The sequence below is a fragment of the Homo sapiens genome, chromosome 7 (genome assembly GCF_000001405.40).
Source record: "Homo sapiens chromosome 7, GRCh38.p14 Primary Assembly".
Lineage (NCBI taxonomy): Eukaryota > Metazoa > Chordata > Mammalia > Primates > Hominidae > Homo > Homo sapiens.
The window spans coordinates 24,383,430-24,404,553 of record NC_000007.14 but is presented as its reverse complement, the minus strand read 5'-3'; the positions used below and the strand labels follow the sequence as shown (position 1 = coordinate 24,404,553).

General features: G+C 42.9%; 1 long non-coding RNA gene across 14 annotated transcripts in view, besides 5 other annotated features; it reads left to right on the top strand.

The window, feature by feature from the left end:
• Positions 1 to 21,124, top strand: part of LOC107986777 (uncharacterized) — a 303,857-nt gene that overhangs the window by 40,585 nt on the left and 242,148 nt on the right. The gene's annotated exons all lie outside the window — the stretch shown is intronic.
• Positions 1,973 to 2,627: an enhancer, noted in NCBI's record as "NANOG-H3K27ac hESC enhancer chr7:24441546-24442200 (GRCh37/hg19 assembly coordinates)". NCBI's record gives its function as "activates a minimal SCP1, AML or CMV promoter by ChIP-STARR-seq in naive H9 embryonic stem cells {active_cell/tissue: H9 hESC(naive)}" and the evidence as "EXISTENCE:reporter gene assay evidence [ECO:0000049][PMID:30033119]".
• Positions 2,628 to 3,282: an enhancer, noted in NCBI's record as "OCT4-NANOG-H3K27ac hESC enhancer chr7:24440891-24441545 (GRCh37/hg19 assembly coordinates)". NCBI's record gives its function as "activates a minimal SCP1, AML or CMV promoter by ChIP-STARR-seq in naive and primed H9 embryonic stem cells {active_cell/tissue: H9 hESC(naive and primed)}" and the evidence as "EXISTENCE:reporter gene assay evidence [ECO:0000049][PMID:30033119]".
• Positions 5,247 to 5,901: an enhancer, noted in NCBI's record as "H3K27ac hESC enhancer chr7:24438272-24438926 (GRCh37/hg19 assembly coordinates)". NCBI's record gives its function as "activates a minimal SCP1, AML or CMV promoter by ChIP-STARR-seq in naive H9 embryonic stem cells {active_cell/tissue: H9 hESC(naive)}" and the evidence as "EXISTENCE:reporter gene assay evidence [ECO:0000049][PMID:30033119]".
• Positions 7,355 to 8,015: an enhancer, noted in NCBI's record as "OCT4-NANOG-H3K27ac hESC enhancer chr7:24436158-24436818 (GRCh37/hg19 assembly coordinates)". NCBI's record gives its function as "activates a minimal SCP1, AML or CMV promoter by ChIP-STARR-seq in primed H9 embryonic stem cells {active_cell/tissue: H9 hESC(primed)}" and the evidence as "EXISTENCE:reporter gene assay evidence [ECO:0000049][PMID:30033119]".
• Positions 8,016 to 8,675: an enhancer, noted in NCBI's record as "OCT4-NANOG-H3K27ac-H3K4me1 hESC enhancer chr7:24435498-24436157 (GRCh37/hg19 assembly coordinates)". NCBI's record gives its function as "activates a minimal SCP1, AML or CMV promoter by ChIP-STARR-seq in naive and primed H9 embryonic stem cells {active_cell/tissue: H9 hESC(naive and primed)}" and the evidence as "EXISTENCE:reporter gene assay evidence [ECO:0000049][PMID:30033119]".

The window sequence follows — 21,124 nt, the reverse complement described above, 5'->3', positions numbered from 1 at the left end:
ACTTGCGGTCAGGAGTTCGAGACCAGCCTGGCCAACATGGCACTTTAGCCAGGTGTGGTGGCGCACACCTGTAATCCCAGCTACTAGGAGGCTGAGGCAAGAGAATCACTTGAACCTGGGAGGCAGGGGCTGCAGTGAGCCGAGATCATGCCACTGCACTCCAGCCTGGGCGCTGGAGGGAGACTCCATCTCAAAGAAAAAAAATAAAATACCATAAACACTAATGCAGAGGGTGGGTACTTCATCTCTTCTCTCCCAGGCTTGCCCTTTGTTCCCCTGGAGAATGTGAGTGGACTTACCAGACTTGTCCGGTGGGGTGCTCTGTGTTTCAATATTTGTGTATCCCTTTCTTACCATTTTGAATTAATTCCTGAAAATTCTGCCACTAAGTGAAAGCTGTTACATGAAAAATTATTTTTAATGGGGAAAATTATGATTAATTTCATCCCAATCCAATATATCTAACCAATTTTTACAGGTGAAAAGAAAACATTTCAATTGAATGATAAAGATAAATATATATGAGCAATGTACAACAGTTTGAAAATAAGTAAATGTAATGTGTGGATGAAAAGTGAGAAAGGTTTATGATACTCACCAAGGGGGGAAGAGAAGCTTGATCACAGGTGGTGGTGGATAGAGAGAGTGTCAGGTGTAAGAGGTGGGGAAAAATCAAGTGACCAATTTAGGCAGAGTGTCTGGGCTCATCAGCACACTCAAACTGCACTTAATAAGATTAAAGCACAGGCAAACATCATTAGGGCAACACAAAGGTGAGAACCTTTGAAAACAGGTAGAAATCGTGCATGGGCACCACAGACTGAAGAGCCGTAGAATCTGCTGCATCCTCACCCCCATTATTTGGTGTGTGCAAGAGTAAAATATCTGGCATTCATCCAAACATGGGGCAGGATTCAAACTTGCTCCATATGATATTTGCTATCTAGAAACTGTGATATTGTGTAAATTGATTCATATGTGTTTTAACTGGAACTGTAATGTTGAAATAGTACTTCTCATGATGTGTTTACTTGTGTGCTTTTGAATAAAAAATCATGACACACACAGACAGAAACATACACACAGACACACATATATACATATACAGACACACATACACATATACATGTAGACATACATACAGACACATACACACAGACAGATGGACATAGACAGACACAGCACACACACATAGACACATACATATATGCAGATGGACACACACACACACACACACACACACACACACACACACATACACCCTGCATAGTCTATTGCCTGAAATCTGGTTTAACTTTCCAGAAGTCATTATGGTGAAATATCATTAACCAAAAGGCTCTCTGTCAGGTAAGTCTGTACAAATATGCCCTAGTCAGAGACATGGTTTCGGTATTTTAGGAAAAGGTAATGTGAGTCTGGATGTTTCATTTGTGTGGGTCATTTCATTCATCTGGATAAAGTACAGGATTTTTCATAATGAGCCTGCTTTTTAATTTTTCTAATTTTCATTTCCATTAAAGAGACAGTTTACCGGTAGTTCAAAGATTTGTGTGAGTACAAGATGGATTTACGATAATTGTGGAATGTATAATGAATACACAAAAAGGTTTTAGGAAAGCACACAGCAGTGATCACATTTTTCGAGAACAGTTGTTGAGTCTTACTGGTGGCAATGATCATTCACTTTTTCAGCCAGTCGAATCTCTTGTTGCTGTGTTAATAGCTCAGTCATATTTGTAGTCATTTACATGTTTTCAGGCATTAGGCATTCCATTTGGTTAGAGCATGAGAAATTTTTGACATTAGGAAATAAAAATGCCTTAAATATTATTTGTTAATTGTTTGACATTGGCTGTTAAATTATCAGAGCAGCACCTATAGTAAGGGAATAAATTATGAAGCTGAATGCTAAAAACAATGCTTACCCTTTCATAAGACTAGACTACATTTTTTAAGCAAAGGATAAAGCCCGAGTCTTTTCATTCTATAGGTGACATTACTATATAGTTAAGCATCTTAACCAAGTCAGAAACAGAACAAAACGGCCAGGAGTAATTTTAATTTTGCCATCTAATGTATGAGAGGTAGGAAATACTATGTCTCAATTTTTTAAAAATGAAAACAAAACACTAGAAAGGCTCTAAAATAAAACACTCTTTTCACAGTTCTTCAAGCAACCTACCAACCTCCTACCAATTCAAACTACAGTTCTAAGGGGGAAAGAGGCCTCTAGTAATTTCGGGGTTGTGGGGGAAAGGCATGGGGCTTACTGAACGGAAGATAATGAAAGTCTTGTCTTGCTACTCTGCATTTTTACCTTGAATTTATTAGGTGTATGCTTTCCCTTTCTGTAATACATTATGCACTCCCTCTAGTGTCAGAATTTGTATATGATCCGAAACCAAGTTTGATAAAGTGCTGCTATAAACATTAGAGTAAGGTTCAGGCTTCTAATTGTGCCATATTTCAAAGATATTAAAGGCCACCTAATAACATGAAGAACAGCCCTGCATGAAGTCACCCTGGCTAAGAAAAGAACGCATATTTTAACCTGTGTTATGAAGAGTTTCATGCGCGTCTGTGTGAACAGACCACCAAACAGGCTTTGTGTGAGCAACATGGCTGTTTATTTCACCTGGGTGCAGGCAGGCTGAGTCCGAAAAGGCAGATAAGTGTCGGGGGGGCGTTTTATAGGATTTGGGTACGTAAAGGAAAATTACAGTCAAGGGGGTTTGTTCTCTGGTGGGCAGGAGTGGGGGTCGCAAGGTGCTCAGTGGGGGTGCTTTTTGAGCCAGGATGAGCCGGGAAAAGGACTTTCACAAGGTAATGTCATCACTTAAGGCAAGGACCGGCCATTTACACTTCTTTTGTGGTGGAATGTCATCAGTTAAGGTGGGGCAGGGCATATTCACTTCTTTTGTGATTCTTCAGTTACTTCAGGCCATCTGGGCGTATACATGCAAGTCACAGGGGATGCGATGGCTTGGCTTGGGCTCAGAGGCCTGACATTCCTGCTTTCTTATGTTAATAAGCAAAATAAAACAAAATAGTGTTGAAGTGTTGGGGCGGCGAAAATTTTTGGGGGGTGGTATGGAGAGAGAATGGGTGATGTTTCTCAGGGCTGCTTCAAGCGGGATTAGGGGTGGCGTGGGAACCTAGAGTGGGAGAGATTAAGCTGAAGGGAGGTCTTGTGGTAAGGGGTGATATTGTGGGGATGTTAGAAGAAACATTTGTCGTATAGAATGATTGGTGATGGCCTGTATACAGTTTTGGATGAATTGAGAAACTAAATGGAATAACAGAAGGAGAAAAACAGGTATAAAAGGTCTAAGAATTGGGACGACTCAGGATATCTGATTAGAGAGTGCCTAAGGAGATTCAGCATAGTCCTGCCCGCAAAGATTATTTATTTACTTCAAGAGTTAAGAGTGGCAGTTTGGGGATAGCACCAGGAGATTATCAGCTGTGATGGCTTGGAAAAACAGTGTAAACCGGCAGTGTAAACAAGAGCAGGGCATGTATGAGTAGTTGAGAACGAATAGGAGTATGACTAGACAGAAGATAGTAGGGATGACAAGTTTTTTGGGGGCACAGTCTAAGTTGGTCTGGTGTCTGGAATGAGACTGGGGCCTAATAAAAACGAGCGTCTATACAGAAGCTTAAATGGGCTGTACCCTGTAGCATTCCGAGGACAGGCCTGAATTCTGAGAAGGGAAAGTGGTAAAAGTATTGTCCAGTCCTTTTTAAGTTGCTGGGTGAGCTTGGTGAGGTGTGTTTTTAAAAGACCTTTAGTCCGTTCTACTTTTCTTGAAGATGGAGGACCGTAAGGGATATAAAGGTTTCACTGAATACTAAGAGCCTGAAAAACTGCTTGGCTGATTTGACTAATAAAGGCTCATCTGTTATCAGACTGTAGGAATTATGTCTGACAGAAGGGAAGAAATGACTGCGGTGGCCTTCTCAGACCCTGTAGGAAAGGCCTCTACCTATCCAGTGAAAGTATCTACCTAGACTAAGAGGTATTTTAGTTATCTGACTCAGGGCATGTTGAGTAAAACTAATTTGCCAGTCCTGGGTGGGGCAAATCCTCCAGCTTGATGTGTAGGGAAGGGAGGGGGCCTGAATAATCCCTGAGGAGTAGTAGAATAGCAGATGGAACACTGAGAAGTTATTTCCTTGAGGATAGATTTCCACGATGGAAAGGAAATGAGAGGTTCTAAGAGGCGGGCTAGTGGCTTGTACTATAGCATAACCTGCCTTTGCTGGTGTGTGGCGATTAGGCCTGGTGGAACTGCCATCAATAAATCAAGAGTGATCAGGGTGAGGAACAGGAAAGAAGGAAATGTGGGGAAATGGGGTGAATGTCAGGTGGATCAGAGAGATACAGTCATGGGGGTCAGGTGTGGTATCAGGAATAATGTGGGAGGCCGGATTGAAGTCTGGGCCAGAAACAATGGTAATTGTGGGACTTAAAGAGTGAGTACAGCTGAAGGAGCCGGGAAGCAGAAAGTATATGCGTCAGGTGTGAGGAAGAAAATAGAATTTGGAAGTTATGAGAGCTGTAGAGAGTGAGTTGAGCATAGTTTGTGATTTTGAGGGCCTCTAAAAGTATTAAAGCAGCGGCAGCCACTGCACGCAGACATGATGGCTAGGCTAAAACAGTAAGGTCAAGTTGTTTGGACAGAAAGGCTACAGGGTGTGGTCCTGGCTCTTGTGTAAGAATTCTGACTGCGCTAATCATGCCTAGGAAGGAAAGGAGTTGTTTTGTAGAAGGTGCTGGGGTTTGAGAGATCAGTTGGACACAATTGGCAGGGAGAGCACGTGTGTTTTTATGAGAATTATGCAGAGATAGGTAACAGATGAGGAAGAAATTTGGGCTTGACTGAAGTAATGGGGGCTGTCTGTGAAGCCTTGCGGCAGTACAGCCCAGGTAATTTGCTGAGCTTGATGGGTGTCAGGGTCAGTCCAAGTGAAAGCGAAGAGAGGCTGGGATTAAGGGTGCAAAGGAATAGTAAAGAAAGCACGTTTGAGATCTAGAACAGAATAATGGGTTGTAGAGGCAGGTATTGAGAATAGGAGAGTATATGGGTTTGGCACCACGGGGTGGATAGGCAAAACAAGTTGGTTGATTGATAAGGCACAGATCCTGAACTAAACTAACTTATAAGGCTTGTCTGGTTTTAGGACAGGTAAAATGAGGGAATTGTAAGGAGAGTTTATAGGCTTTAAAAGGCCATGCTGTAACAGGTGAGTGATAACAGGCTTTAATCTTTTTAAAGCGTGCTGCGGGATGGGATATTGGTGTTGAGTGGAGTAAGGGTGATTAGGTTTTAATGAGATGGTAAGGGGTGCATGATCGGTCGCCAAGGAGGGAGTAGAGGTATCTTATACTTGTGGGTCAAGGTGGAGGGATACAAGAGGAGGAAGCAAAGGAAGCTTTGGATTGGGAAGAAGGGCGGCAATGAGATATAGCTGTAATCCAGGAATAGTCAGGGAAGCAGATAATTTAGTTAAAGTATCTCAGCCTAATAAGGGAACTGGGCAGGTGGGGATAACTAAAAAGGAGTGCTTAAAAGAGTATTGTCTAAGTTGGCACCAGAGTTGGGGAGTTTTAAGAGGTTTAGAAGCCTGGCTGTCAATACCTACAACAGTTATGGAGGCAAGGGAAACAGGCCCTTGAAAAGAAGGTAATGTGGAGTGGGTAGCCTCCATATTGATTAAGAAGGGGATGGACTTACCCTCCACTGTGAGAGTTACTCGAAGTTGGGCGTCCGTGATGGTCTACGGGCCTTCTGAGGCGATCGGGCAGCATCAGTCTTCAGCCGCTAAGCCGAGAAGGAGTCAGTCAGAGAGCCTTGGGCCAGAGTTCCAGGGGCTCTGGGAGTGGCTGCCAGGTGAGTTGAACAGTCCAATTTCCAGTGGGGTCCCGCACAGATGGGACATGGCTTAGGAGGAATCCTGGGCTGCAGGCATTCCTTGGCGCAGTGGCCAGATTTCCAGCACTTGTAGCAAGCTCCTGGGGGAAGAGGTTCTGGAGGAACGCCTGGCTGCTGTGGTTCAGGTATTTGGAAGTTCTTGTGTGCTGGAGATGTGGCTGGGGTTTGTCTCACAGTGGAGGCAAGGAATTGCAACTTTTTTATATTATTGTACACCTTAAAGGTGAGGTTAATTAAGTCCTGTTGTGGGGCTTGAGGGCCAGATTCCAATTTTTGGAGTTTTATTTAATGTCGGGAGCAGATTGGGTAATAAAATGTATTTTGAGAATAACACGGCCTTTTGACCTTTCAGGGTCTAGGGCTGTAAAGTGTCTCAGGGTTGCTGCCAAACAAGTCATGAACTGGGCTGGATTTTTATATTTGATAAAAAAGAGCCTAAACGCTATCTGATTTGGGATAAAGAAAAAGGAGCATGAACCTTGACTATGCCTTTAGCTCCAGCCACCTTTTTAAGAGTAAATTGCTGGGCAGGTGGGGGAGGGCTAGTCACAGAACGAAACTGTAAACCGGACCAGGTGTGAGGAGGGGAGGTGATAAAAAGATTACAGGGTGGAGGAGCGGAGGCTGAGGAAGAATTGGGACCTAGCTCGGCCTGGCGAGGAGCAGCCTGGGGAGGAAGGGAGAGGTCAGATGGGTCTGTAGAAAAGGAAGATTAGAAAGACTCAGTGACACTTGGGGTTGGTACTAAGGGGACAGGCGGGAGGGAAAGAAGGAAGATTTGGGATGAGTTGCACTGGGCACAGAGACTAGGAAGGGACTGATGTGTAAAAGAATGCCTGGACGTCAGGCACCTCAGACCGTTTGCCTATTTTACGACAAGAATTATTTAGATCTTGCAGGATGGAAAAATTCAAAGTGCCATTTTCTGGCTATTTGGAACTACTGTCGAGTTTGTATTGGGGTCAAGCGGCAATGCAGAAGAAAATAAGGCATTTAGGTTTTAGGTCAGGTGTGAGTTGAAGAGGTTTTAAGTTTTTGAGAACACAGGCCAAGGGAGTCGAAGGAGGAATGGAGGGTGGAAGTTTGCCCACAGTGAAGGAAGCAAGCCTAGAGAAAAGAGAAAGTAGAGAAACGGAGGGAAGGGGTTCGGGGGTTCTTACCTTCTAGAAAAGTGGGCAAAGGGGTTGGGGCACAGAGATAAGAGGTCGGGGCGTGGAAATAAGGGATTGGGGTGCAGAGATACGAGGTTGGGGCTCGGAAGGGATTGGGGTGCAGAGATAAGAGGTTGGGGTGCGGAAATAAGGGATTGGGGGTTCTTGCCCCGTAGAAAAGCGGGACTTGCTGCTAAGGGTGAAGGAGAAGGGGTTGAGGGGTACTTGCCCCTCTCCCAGAAAAGCAGAGAAGGGGTAGAGACAAGGAGAGAAGGGGTTGGGGTACTTGCCCCTTCCCCAGAAAAGCGGGACTTGCCGCTAATGGTGAAGGACCAAGGCAGGCGTCCCTGCGTGGTCTGACACCCTTGAAACGTGGGTGTATAATCAGAGAGCGTCCCTGCAATGATTAAACACCAAGGGAAGGCTGCCTTCCCAGTCCGTGACCCGCGCCGGAGTTTTGGGTCCACGGATAAAACGTGTCTCCTTTGTCTCTACCAGAAAATGAAAGGAATTGAAATTAAGAGAAGGGAGAGATTGAAGTGTAGCGCCAAGATTGAAAGGAGAAAGAGGTTGAGGGATAGTGAGGGAAGTTGGAGAAGAGAGGAAAAAGAGGCCGCTTACCGGATTTGAAATTGGTGCGATGTTTCTTGGGCTGGTCGGTCTGAGGACCTGAGGTCATAGGTGGATCTTTCTCACAGAGCAAAGAGCAGGAGGACAGGGGATTGATCTCCCAAGGGAGGTCCCCCGATCCGAGTCACGGCACCAAATTTCATGCGCGTCCGTGTGAAGAGACCACCAAACAGGCTTTGTGTGAGCAACGTGGCTGTTTATTTCACCTGGGTGCAGGCGGGCTGAGTCCGAAAAGACAGTCAGGGAAGGCAGATAAAGGTGGGGCCGTTTTATAGGATTTGGGTACGTAAAGGAAAATTACAGTCAAAGGGGGTTTGTTCTCTGGTGGGCAGGAGTGGGGGTCACAAGGTGCTCAGTGGGGGTGCTTTTTGAGCCAGGATGAGCCGGGAAAAGGACTTTCACAAGGTAATGTCATCACTTAAGGCAAGGACCGGCCATTTACACTTCTTTTGTGGTGGAATGTCATCAGTTAAGGTGGGGCAGGGCATATTCACTTCTTTTGTGATTCTTCAGTTACTTCAGGCCATCTGGGCGTATATACGTGCAAGTCACAGGGGATGCGATGGCTTGGCTTGGGCTCAGAGGCCTGACAAAGAGACCTCTTCCAAGCTTTTTACCCCCTCCTCAAAGTGACCTATAAATTAACTTAGAGCTTTATTAAAGCTTTAAATTCCTTTAGTAATCTTAAGTATTTATTAAATCCTAAATTCTGTAACAACAACCAAAAAAAGAACACTACATATAAACAAAAATACCCCACCTGAGATGAAAGAAAACTGCAGCTCGAAAGCATAAAGCCCATGGGAACATCATGAAATGTGTTATTGTCAAGATTTTGCAAAGTTTATTAGCTATTTTTTTGCTTTTTCTCGGAACTAGAAGTTAACATGGCTGTTTTGTGTCTGTGTAAAGCACATCACATAGACACTGCTGTTGGTGGCCTGTCCAGCAGAGATCCCCTGTTTCTCTTCCCTAACACAACTCTCTTGTTGTTTGGGTTCCCTTTGCTTTCCTACTCAACCCACAGGCCTGAAGGAAAGCCGATACCACTCCCAGCTGCAGGGGTGGCCCTGGGTGACCTGTGGGTAATCCCATCCTCCTTCCCAGTGAAGGCTCAATAATAGGCTTGTGACCCAATTCTGGCCAATGAGAAGCATCAAAGTTCTCAGTCTTCTGGGCAAAGTTCCAGAAGTGACACTTTTCTTTTAGATACTGACATGTACTGATGTGAGGCCTGGAACTGCTGCAGCCATCGTGTTACCCAATGTGAGGGTAAGACTGACACTGTGTGGGAGGTTTGAGGCAAGAAGGTCACAGGGCGATGCAGCAGAAGCCCCTAGACAAATTGATTGGAAACCCAACCTGCTGCTGGGCCTTTAGGCATGGGAACCCATATGTAGAGTATTGTTTGTCAGTTTTATTTGGGATTTGTATTACTTGTTGACAAAATTATCTCCAACCTTACAACTCTTGTCATAGTTAATTAAACAACCTTCTTATATTGAAAACCCAATAACATATAACCCAGTTTTACATCCACTTCCATGCCAATTCACACAAAAAACACAATATACAATTGTTAATGAAGATTGTATTTGTTATGTATTATTGCAGAACAAGTTACCCCAAAACATAGTGACTTAAAATAATAGTAAACATTTATTAGCTCTCAGAGTTTCTGTGAGTCAGGGATTTGGGAGCAGCTTGGCTTGGTGGTTGCAGTCAAGATGTTGGCTGGGGCTGTAGGCATGTGAAGGCTTGACTGGGGTTCGAGGATCTGCTTCCAAGATGGCTCACAGATACGACTGGCAAGTTGGTGCTGGATGTTGGTGGGAGGCCTCAGTTCCTTCCCTCATGAGCCTGTCCATAAGCTGTTTGAAGGCCCTTAGGATGTGACATCTACATGGCTTCCCATAGTCAATTCCCATGACCCCTAAAGTTAGTGATCCACCCAAGAAAGTAAGAGCCAGGTGGAAGCTACTGTCACTATGACCCAGCTTCAGATGTTATCATAGCATCATTTCTACCACATTCTATTCATTAGAATCAAATCACTGAGTTCCGCTCATATTCAAGAGGAGGAGAATAAGCTCTACCTTTTTTTTTCTAGATTAATAAACTTCATTTTTAGGAGCAATTTTAAGTATGACAAAACTGAGTGTTCAGATAGTTCCCATATAGCCCCTGTTCCACACACATGTATAACCTCCCCCACTATTGGCATCTTGCACCACATTGGTACATTTCTTACAATTGATGAACATGTGTTGGAACATCACCCAGAGGCCATCGTTTACATTAGGGTTCACTTTTGGTATTGTACTTTTTATGGGATTTTTTTTTTTTTTTTTTTTTGAGACAGGGTCTCACTCTGCCACCCAGGCCGGAGTGCAGTGGTGCAATTACAGCTCGCTGCAGCCTTGACTTTCTGGGCTCAGGTGATCCTCCCAGCTCAGCTTCCCAAGTAGCTGGGACCACAGGCACACACCACCATGCCTGGCTACTTTTTAATTTTTTTGTATAGACAGGGTTTTGCCATGTTGCCCAGGCTGGTTTTGAACTCCTGGGATCGAGTGACGCTCCAGCCTTGGTCTCCCAAAGGGCTAGGATTACAGGCATGAGCCACTGTACCTAACCCATTTTATGGGTTGACAAATTCACAATTCACCATTGTTACTCCAAAGCACAGGGGCTTAAAATAAATAATAAGCTCCACTACGTTTTGGAGTAACAATGGTAAATAGTTCCATTGCCCTAAAAATCCTCTGTGCTCTGCCTGTTTACTCCTCCCCGTCTCCTGATCCCTGGCAGCCACTGATCTTTCACTTTCTCCACAGTTTTGCCTTTTCCAGAATGAAATGCTGTTGAAATCATACAGTTTGTAGCCTTTTTAGATTGGCTTCTTTCACTTAATAATATGCATTTAAGTTTCCTCCATGCCTTCTCATAGCTTGATAGCTCATTTCTTTTTAGACCTGAACCATATGCATTGTGTAGATATACCAAAGTTTGTTTATCCATTCACCTACCAAAGCTACAAGATGAAATCACACTTCTAGAAATGAGGTAGTCCTGAACAATTCTCAACTATCAATAACTTATTTTCTTACAATTAAATAAAATGTCTCCCTGAATACTTAACACATTTTAGATATAAGCCAATTAGTTATAAATCTTCCCACCTCTAACATACACTCCTGAGGCTTATTCATTCTTTCAAGAAATATTCACTGGTCCTCTACAGTCTCCCATGCAAATACCAAGCGTACGGCAGCCAGCACTGAGCAGACAGACACAGTCTCTGTTTTCATGGAGTGCATAGCCAAGTGAGGTGTGATGGAATGGAGACTCCCATTCAAAGACTCTATTATGGAAGTAAGCACTTGTGGTCTTTGATCATGTGGTTGAAACCTTTTAACTCCTAGACCTGACACATTTATTTGAAGGGAAACCGGGAATCTTTGGAACTAGGTCCACCAAGGTCTTGCTGTCATGATTCTTGAGTGAAAGCCGTATATGGGGGCATAAACAAAGAAATTATAGGCAGGTTTTTTAAAACTGGAAAAAACTAGGAAGGAGGCACAGATTTGCCTTCAGCTGAGCAGGGACAGGTTCCAGCTCACGCTGACCTTTCCCTGCCTATGGTTTTAGTAATCTGCACCACAGTACTTAGCACTTGGTTCCTGCCCATGCACTGTCTGGTACAATTTAAAGTGGCTTCTAGTCCATCCATGGATTTTCTGCCCAGCAGGCTAGTTAGCTTCTTGAAGGCAGAGAGTTACTCTTCCTAGAAGTCTGTGTTACCTTTCTTATAAGCCTTTCCTTGGGGCTGAGCTCAGGGGGCCCTCTGTGAATGTAAATGTAAGCTGATACCTGGGCAGGCCCCAGTGTCTCCAGTGTCCCTAAGGTGCCCCTCCCCTTTCGTTTCTCTTTTCTTTGCTTTTTTTTTTTCTCTTCTCCTTTCTTTCCTTTTTTTTTCTTTTTTTTTTCTTTTTTTTTTTTTTGAGACAGAATCTTGTTCTGTTGCCCAAGCTGGAAAGCAGTGGTGTGATCTCCACCTCCTGAGTTCAAGTGATTCTCCTGCCTCAGCCTCCCGAGTAGCTGGGATTACAGGAGCCCGCCATCACGCTTGGCTAACCTTTGTATTTTTAGTAGAAATGGGGTTTCACCATGTTGGCCAGGCTGGTCTTGAACTCCTGACCTCGTGATCCACCCACCTCAGCCTCCTGAAGTGCTGGGATTACAGGTGTGAGCCACTGCGCTCGGCTCCCCCTCTCCCCTTTTTTCCTTCAAACCCATCACTCTAGACTTGGTCTTTTTGCCTCAGCATCCTCATCTTGCCTCCAACTTCTCAGGGTCTGTCTCTGTGATTTTCTCTTTTCAATCTCTTTCCCGGCATGAAGGTGACCTGCTTTATCTTCATTCATATCACACACATTTACTGAGCACTACTATGTACCAGGAACTATGCTAGGTGCTGGGGACACAAAGGCAACTAACACATAGCTCCTTGCATTAAAGGGCTTTGTAGTCTCAAGATGAGGGAGACTCAAGTGAATCAAGGATTATGGGACCATGTGAAAAGCACTAAGACACACACTAAGACTCTGAGAGCCCCAGGGAAGGGCCAGTCAGTCAGGTGGGAGTATTACATCAGACTTCTGGAGAAGGAGGGTGTTTTAAACAGATGACCCTAAAATATTCAAGCTGCAAGAAACCTAAGTAACCTAATACAACTACCATATTTACAAATGAGGAGACAGACCCATTGAGGGGGTGGGACATTGTCAAAGGTTACATTCCCTGCTGCGGACAAAGCCAAGACTAGAGGTAGAAGTGGGATGTAGCTGGGTTTGGCAGTGGGGGTGGAGGTGGAGGTGTGATGGTGCTACAATTCTGGCCACAGTCTAAAGTAAAAGTAGAGTCCGGGTGTGGTGGCTCATGCCTGTAATCCCAGCACTTTGGGAGGCCGAGATGGGTGGATCATTTTAGGTCAGGAGTTCAAGACCAGCCTGGCCAACATGGCAAAATCCCGTCTCTACTAAAAATACAAAAATTAGCCGGGTGTGGTGGTGCATGCCTGTAGTCCCAGCTATTCAGATGGCTGAGACAGGAGAATAGCTTGAACCTGGGAGGCAGAGGTTGCAGTGAGCTGAGATGGTGCCACTGCACTCCAGCCTGGGTGACAGAGCAATACTCCGTCTCATAAAATAAATAAATAAATAAAGCAAAAGTGGAAAAAGGTAGCTAGTCAGTCCAATAACTCAAGTGAGAGATAAGAGATGAAGAGATTATGGTGGCATGGACCAGGACAGAGGGTGAAAAGTGATCAGATTCAACAGACATTTCAAAAGGAGAGCTGGCAGGTTTTGCCTATGGTCTAGATATGCTATGTAAGAGAAAGAAGAATCCTGGATGGCTCCAAGATTTGGGTCTGAGCAACTAGAAGCTTGGAATTTTCAACAACTAAGGTGTGGAAAATGGTAGGAGCAGTAAGGAAAAATACATATTTGTTTTGGAACATGTCGAATTTGAGATGCCTATTACATATCCTAGCAGAGATGCCCAATTGCCAATTGCATATACAAGTCTGGAGTTGGACTGGAGATATGTATTTTGCATGTATCTGTATGTAGATGGAATTTAAAACCATGAGATCATGTGATCACCTAGAGAAAGAGTGAAGATAGAGAAGAAAAGAGGTCTGAGGACTCAGCCTGGGACACTTCAGTGTTTAGATGGGAAAGACAGAAAGAACTAGCAAAAAAGGCCTCAGAAGGAGTGGCTGATAAGGTAGGAAGAGAACCAAGAGAGAATGTTTTCCTGGAGGCTAAGTTAAGAAAGGAGGAGGGTGTGATCTACCATCAAATAATGCTGATACGTTAAATTAAATGGTTAGTGAGAAACTACCACTGGACTTGACAAGATGGAAGTCATTGGCAACCTCGTCAAAAGCAGTTTTAGTGGAGTGAGGGGAACAACAGCCTTGTTGAAGCAGATTCAGAAAGAGTGGGAGCAGAGGGAGTGGAGACAGAAAACCCTTTAGAAGAGTTTCACTGTAAAATGAAGAAAGCAATGAGGCAGTATCTGTAGAGTCAAGATTTTTTTTTCTTTTACAAATAGGTGATTATCTCTTTGTGTCCTGATGTAAATGATCAAGAAGAGAGGGTGCAATTGTTGATGTGGGACAGAGAGAGGAAACCTGAAAGAGCTGCATTCAGGGTGGGAAGAGGGAGGGAGCTGATGCTGAAGCTAAAGGGTTGATTCTGAAAGTGCATGGGCTGCTCACCGCTGTAACAAGGGAGAAGGCCCATTAGGCGGGTCAGAGAGGCAGACTGCTGGTTCTGGCAGGGGGAATGGGTGGAAATTTGCCTCTAATCGTAGAGAGAAAGTGGGGAAGAAGCTGTTGGATGTTTGAGAAGAAGAGAGCTATGTAAGAGTCACCCAAGAGACTGGAACTGTGAGTTAAGTAGGTCATTATAGGTGGACAACAAGACCTCTCAATAACATTAGAGTTTTGTGATTTTGCACTTACAGCAAGGTCAATCAGCACAGTTGTGTGTTCTCCTTCAGTCACAGTCAGCTGCCTTGGAGCTGGAGAGAAGTGAGCAGAGGACTGGATTTAACCAGGGCTGTGTTTTGCTGAGGGTGGGAGAGCAAGTACAAAGATGGACCAAGGGTCTAAGTTGGGAAAAGAGGAAATTGAAGCCATAGGGGTTAGAGGAACAGTAAAAAGTAGTAGGGCCAGTGGATTAGTGGTTCAGTGGGGTTGAGGACCTGTTGAAATTAGTGTACTGGGAGAGAGACAGAAAAATAAGAGATGGGGTCAGAGAGTGGGAGGATTGAAATTGAGATTATGGGGAGGGTGTACTTTTTGACAATGACTCAATGTAGGGCATGGTCATGGGAGTGGATTTGTGGCTGGTAGGGGTGGGAATGGGAGTGTGGAGGGTCATCGGATGAGCAGAGGTCAAGAACGAGAAGTCAGAGTTTTGGAAGAATCATCTATGTGGATTCTGAAATCACCAAGAACTATATCAGGGATAGTGTTGAGGGGAAGGGAGTGAATCAGGTGCTAAAATTCTCTCGGGATAAGGAGGAGTGACCTGAAGGTGTGTAGATGAGTGTGACAATTTTATTACAGTCTTTAAAGGCAACAGTATATCAAATATGACATAGAACCACAAATCTGGACATAGAACCACAGCCCACCTAACTGCTTCCTAGACAGTATGGGGAGGTCATTTATCTTTGCTGGCAGATAAATACAAGATCTCTTTCATAGATATCAGTTAGTGCAGCTGCATTCAAGCAACTGCTCCATATAGCAAACAGTACTCAATATTTCCAAGAGGTGCTTGAGAAACTGCCAATTGTGTTGGGAGAAGGGGGAAGGGAATGGCGGGAGGGAGTGTGGAAGGGAGTTGTCTAGAGGAAAAAGAGAAGCAAGTGAAGGGGTTCTATGTTCTCTGCTCTATGTCCCACACAACCCAAGAAGCTCTATATTTAATTGTTTAAATTTGGGCTTTTCACTTGTTGTGTGCAATACACATAGGACACATCCAACTCTCACAGACCTTTCCTTGCTTATGAAGTTAGGATTCAAAGAGAATTCCAAACATGTTCCTTACAAATACAATCAGTTTACTGTATGGGGTTTCATTATGCAGGACAATTATAAGGGCGTAGAGTTTAAGTCAAAACCCATCTAAATCCACAAAATAACGGATTGGGGGTCTATTTAAAATAAACTTCTCGGGAATTCCACTTTTATTGGGAACAATTTATTTCTCCTATTTTATTTGCTAAGTTTTTATTCCAGTAAACGAACAAGTTTAGGCGGAGGTGTATAACACATAGGCGAATATAACCATTGATTTTTTTTGCACTGATATAATTTTATTGTGGCATATGTTTCATCAAGATGTTGTGACATTACCTCAGGGTAGGCTGACACATTCTCCTTACTATACAATGTAAATGTTTCCTTCAGGACAAACACCAAAAGCTGGCAAATCCATTTTGCTAAAAAGCCTCTTAGATTATGCACTATTCATCCCCAAAGATGAAGCCTGACCACTGAGAATTTTTCTTTGTTTTAAATCATAGAGAAAAGCTTAGTTTTATGGTTACTCTTCTATGTGAAGGTCAAGAAATTGTTCTTGTCTGTATTTATCTTCCTCTGAGAAGGTGATCTTGCCTCTTCTTTTAAAAACAAATTCCAAAGTGTCCCACCAGATGAAATGAGCAAGCAATAGCTTTCTTGCTCCAGTGACCAATGTAGTGAATAAAAAAAAAAAAAAAAAGGCTTTGCTTATCTGGCATTTGGGTAAATTTGCTTGGGAATAATGACATTGGTTCACCCAGTTTTCCTCTGAAGTTCAAACATGCCCAGAGCAGCACCTGGTCCAGAGATTTCCATGCAGATAGCATCTGAGGTCTACAGGGCTGCCTGTGCAGAGTGGCACCCAGGAAGGTCACAGACAGTTTATGAGTGCCTGTACAGAGGTCTGGACCTGTTGTGCACTGCTGTTTTTTGATTAGGGCTCCCTGAGAAGGTTCAAAACATTCTTTTTGTAAATCTGCATGTGGCTTTTCTCTACTGCTAATAAGCTGGTAATAATGAGGTTTATTTGCCAGTGCCCATCACTATAGCAGATAGTTTGGGTCACTGGGTTCCAGGGTCATTCTCTGGACCTCAGTTGGAGTGCTGTGATTGGGATAGAGCTGGTAAAAGGACCAGGGATGAAATAATATATAAATTTAGGCCTGAATCCTAGTCACGGAAACCCAATCACCTTGGACACCTATTCTTTTATATTTTGGTGAGAGTGGTCCTTGGTTTACATAGGGCACATTGAGTTTTGATTATTTTACTACTTCTCACAGATGCAAGCATTGGAGCAGTGAGAACACTATATTTGAAGTCAGAAAGCCTCAAGACCTGGCTCAGACATGAACAGTGCAATCACAGGGCAAGCACCTAATATCTCTCACTTTCAATCTTTCATCTACCTCACAGAGCTGTTGTGAGGCTCAAATGGAACTTTATAATAGCTACTCAGATACAAAGCTTATTATGAAGACAATTGTGTATACTCGAAACACACTCAAAGATCATTGTTGTTTGGCCTCTCCTTGTAGAAAAAAATGTTAAGTTGTTTTTATGGGGTTCACTAGATGGATATCCAAAGCCCAGCATAATTTCCACAGCATAATTCCTGCCATATTTGCTACTCGTTGAGTGAATGAATAAAGGAATGAAAGAGTGTGTGATGGAATGAAATTGTCAGAGACATAAGTGTGTGGGTTTAGCTGAGCTGTCACTGCAGCCACCATCAAACACTGGCACGTGCTCACATCACTCACTGGTTCAGGAGGGCTTGGGGGAGCACCAAGTGCTGTGATGAGAGTAGATGACCCCAGTTGGTGGGTGCTATGGCAGACCCAAGACATGGGCTACCTGGAGGGGCGCCTTAGGCGAGTGAGGACTGAGTGAGGGTTATGATCGGAGGGAGAAACTGCAGCAGCTTTTGCTTAGAGTTAGTCTGATCATTCTTTCTCAGAATGGCTCCAACCATTCTCAGGATAGTCATAGGACCTGGTATGCCAGGGTATAGCAGCCAGTAGTGGGCCTAATTGGGAGTCATGGAATTGAGCATGTTCTCTGATGTTCTCACAGTTGTGCATCCCTTGGCTCTCACTTTCCCCTCAGAGGAGAGTGGATTTCAAGTTCAGTACAAGTTCCGCTTCCACCCAGCATGTAGGAAGCTGAAGATAGTGTCACTCTCACCTTAACAAGTAAAAAGCTTGATAAACAATAGTGACAGTTCTTCTTGAAACCATTAGAAAGATGAGGTTTAGGCCATCAAATAGCCTGAAATCCAAGAAAAGACGGGGACTTCCAAGGAGAGATGGGAGGGAACCACCAGCTCAGCAGAACAGAGCATAGGAGAGATGCCCAGGCTACACAAGGATTAAGAAGTGAATATGAAGGATTCAGCTAAAACTGTAGATGGTGGTAAATCGCAAGGGTGGACCAGGGTGAGAGTAGAGAGTTGTGAGGAGCTGCAGTCACAAGGGGAAGTCACAGGGACACATGCAGATTCTTCTCCACAGGCCTTTGCAGGTGCTCCCTGAGAAAGATGGCACAGGGAGAAGACCGCCTGGAGGAGGGGGGTGGCCACATAATATGTGGAGAGAGCTCCCCTCTAGGAGGTGGAGTTTAGTTGCCTTCTCCTCAAGAGTGAGCCAGACTTAGTGCTTCTGATGAATGGAGTTTGGAAAGTGAAAAAGTAACTTTATTGTGGAGAAAACTGTTAGGTGATCCAGGTCACCATCACCAATGATAAATCAAGTGGAACTCATGGGCCTCACGTGATTCTTCCACCTCAGCCTCCCAGATAGCTGGAATTATAGGTCAGTTATGGCTTTTTATTTGGGAGCAATTTTACGCTTTACACAAAATTTGCAAAGGTAGTTCAGAGTTCTCGTTTATCCTTCATCCAACTCTCCCTAAAGTTAACATCTTATATAACCATGGTATGTGCCCTGCCATGATGCCTTGAGAAGGACACCTCATCTCTCTGGCATTTTTACCCCAAATCCATAAGCCCAGTCTAGTTGTGAGAAAACAGAAGACAAACCCAAACTGAGAGACGTACTACATACTATCTGACCAGTATTCTTAACAATTTTTTGAATTTTTGCATGAGTGAAAAATCAGACCTTGACAATGACCTTGAGCAGTAGGATATAAATAACTCCCACACACTTAGCATTCCAATAATGGAACACTAGGCATAAACAAGTTAAAAAGGGTCATGAAAAACAAAGGAAGATTGAGAAGCTGTCACAGGTCACAAGAGATTCAGGAGACATGATGATTAAACACAAGGTGGGATCCAGGATAGGATCTGAAACCAAAAAATGACATTAATAGAAAAACTGGTTACATCTGAATAAAATAAAAGCTTGCTTCATAGTAATTTACCGGTGTTAATTTCTTAGTTTTGATACGTATAACCACTGTTATGTAAGATGTTATAATAACATTAGGGAGAGTTGGATGAAGGATATATGAGAACTGTGAACTATCTTTACAAATTTTCTGTAACTGTAAAATTGCTCCCAAATAAAAACTTAAAACTCGCTGATAGTTTCAGCTACTTGAGAGGCTAAGGCCAGAGAATCGCTTGAGGCCAGGAGGTCGAGTCTAGCCTGGTCAACAGAGTGAGGCACTGTCTCAAAAAAAAAAAAAAAAAATGTTAAGGAACTGGGGATAAGGGAAGGTTTGATGATAAAGGGGAAGGAGGGAAATTTTTGAGGTGATGGAAATGTTCTATATATGAACTATATATGTTTGTCATATATATATATATATATAAATAAAACTCACTGAACTATATCCTAAAAAGGGTGAATTTTTTATATATAACAGTTATACATACAGTTGACCCTCGAACAATGCAGGGCTTAAGGGTTCCAACACCCCTGCAGTTGAAAATCTGCATATAACTTTTGACTCCTCCAAAATGTAGCTACTAATAGCCTACTGTTGACTGGAAGCTTTACTGATAACACAGTCAATTTATACATGTTTTGTATGTTATACGTATATACATATTTTATATATTACACAGTGTATTGATATAATAAAAGTGAGCTAGAAAAAGAAAATGTCATTAAAGTCATAAGAGTCAATGTATTTACTATTTATTAAGTGGAAGTGGATCATCATAAAGGTCTTCATTCATCTTCACGATGGGTAGGCTGAAGAGGAGGAGGAAGAGGAGGGGTTGGTCTTGTTATCTCAGGAGTGTCAAGAGCAGATGAGACTCTGCATATAAACAGACCCATGCTGTTCAAACCCATGTTGTTTAAGGGTCAATTGTATATATATAAAACAGTGTATAAATTATACCTCAATAAACCTGACTTTAAAAAATACACAGTGCATCATTGTTGGGGACTTACATAGATGTGAGCCTTAGTAGAGAATGAAAGTGAAAGCCTCACTCTTTAGAAAACTCATCATGCCCTTGTCTTTCCCCTACTAAGGACCTCACTTTCAATACATTTTAAAAAATCATATTTATCTCCAATTGCGTTTTTTTAAAAAAAATGCAAACTATGGGAGATGGGCCAAGTTTTCATTTTTCATAATACAGTAAAAATATTTATAGATATTTCAGCAGCTCTGGCACAATACACAGAACCAGTGAGTCCACATTACAGCAGAAAGTCAGTGGGTGACAGTAAGTCAATTTCTCCTCTATTACACTGCTTCCTGTTGGCGGAACAGTAGCAACCAGGAGAGCGGTGCTCAAAGCAATCAAGTGGCTCTTTAGAGCAAAGGGAAGGATAACTTTAAAAAATATTTATTAAAGATGTATATGGCATAAAACAACTTTTAAAAATTATTTTGTATTTTATTAACTAGTTATTAGTAATTAATAAGATTCCCTTTGTCTTCTGTTCCCTAGCCCTTGCAGGAAACTAGAGTTACTAACCTTCCAGAGATATTTTTATGCAAATGTGCATATGCATGTATTCTTTTTAATGCAAACAGAAGCGTATACTACTTTCTTCACTTTGCTTTCTTTTTCTAGTGTTTTTAAAAAAGATATGCTTATCGGTCTTAGTCCATTTGGGCTGCTATAACAGAATACCATAGACTGGGTGGCTTATAAACAACAAAAAAATAGTTCTTATATTTTGAGAAGTCAAGATAAAGGCACTAGCAGATTCAGTGTCTGGTGAGGGCCTGCTTCCTGATTCATAGACAGCCATCTTTTTGCTGTGTCCTCACAAGGTGGAAGGGGTGAGGGAACTCTCTGGAGCCTGTTTTATAAAGGCATTAATCCCATTCACAAGGGCTCCACCGTCATGGCCTAATCACCTCCCAAAGGCCCGACCTCCCTAATACCACCACACTGCGGGTTAGGATTTCAACACATGAATTTTCTTGGGGTGGGGGTGACACAAACAGTCGGTATACAGCACTGTCTCATTACAAGATGCATTTGAAGCAGTTTATTATAATCTATGTAAAATAATTGTTTAGGAAAGTAAAGAGTTGTAAAAAAATAAAACTAAGTCAGCAGAGAGTTTAGTACAAAATACACATGCCCTGAAACACTGTACAACAAGAGGTGGGCTACTAATGTGGCTCTGAGCTTTCTAGCAGCAAATGCAGAGGAAAATACAAGCAGTTATATGACTGTCGTGCCCATAACATAAAAACTAACCATTCTTTTCTTACATTTATGTATTCCCTCTGTGATAATTTTAAACTATTGAATTAAAAACAAAACAAGCAACATTTATACCAAAATCATAAAAATATCACCAGCTGGTTCTACAACCTGAGAAACATTTTTTTTTTCCCCCCAGGGAGCCTCATTT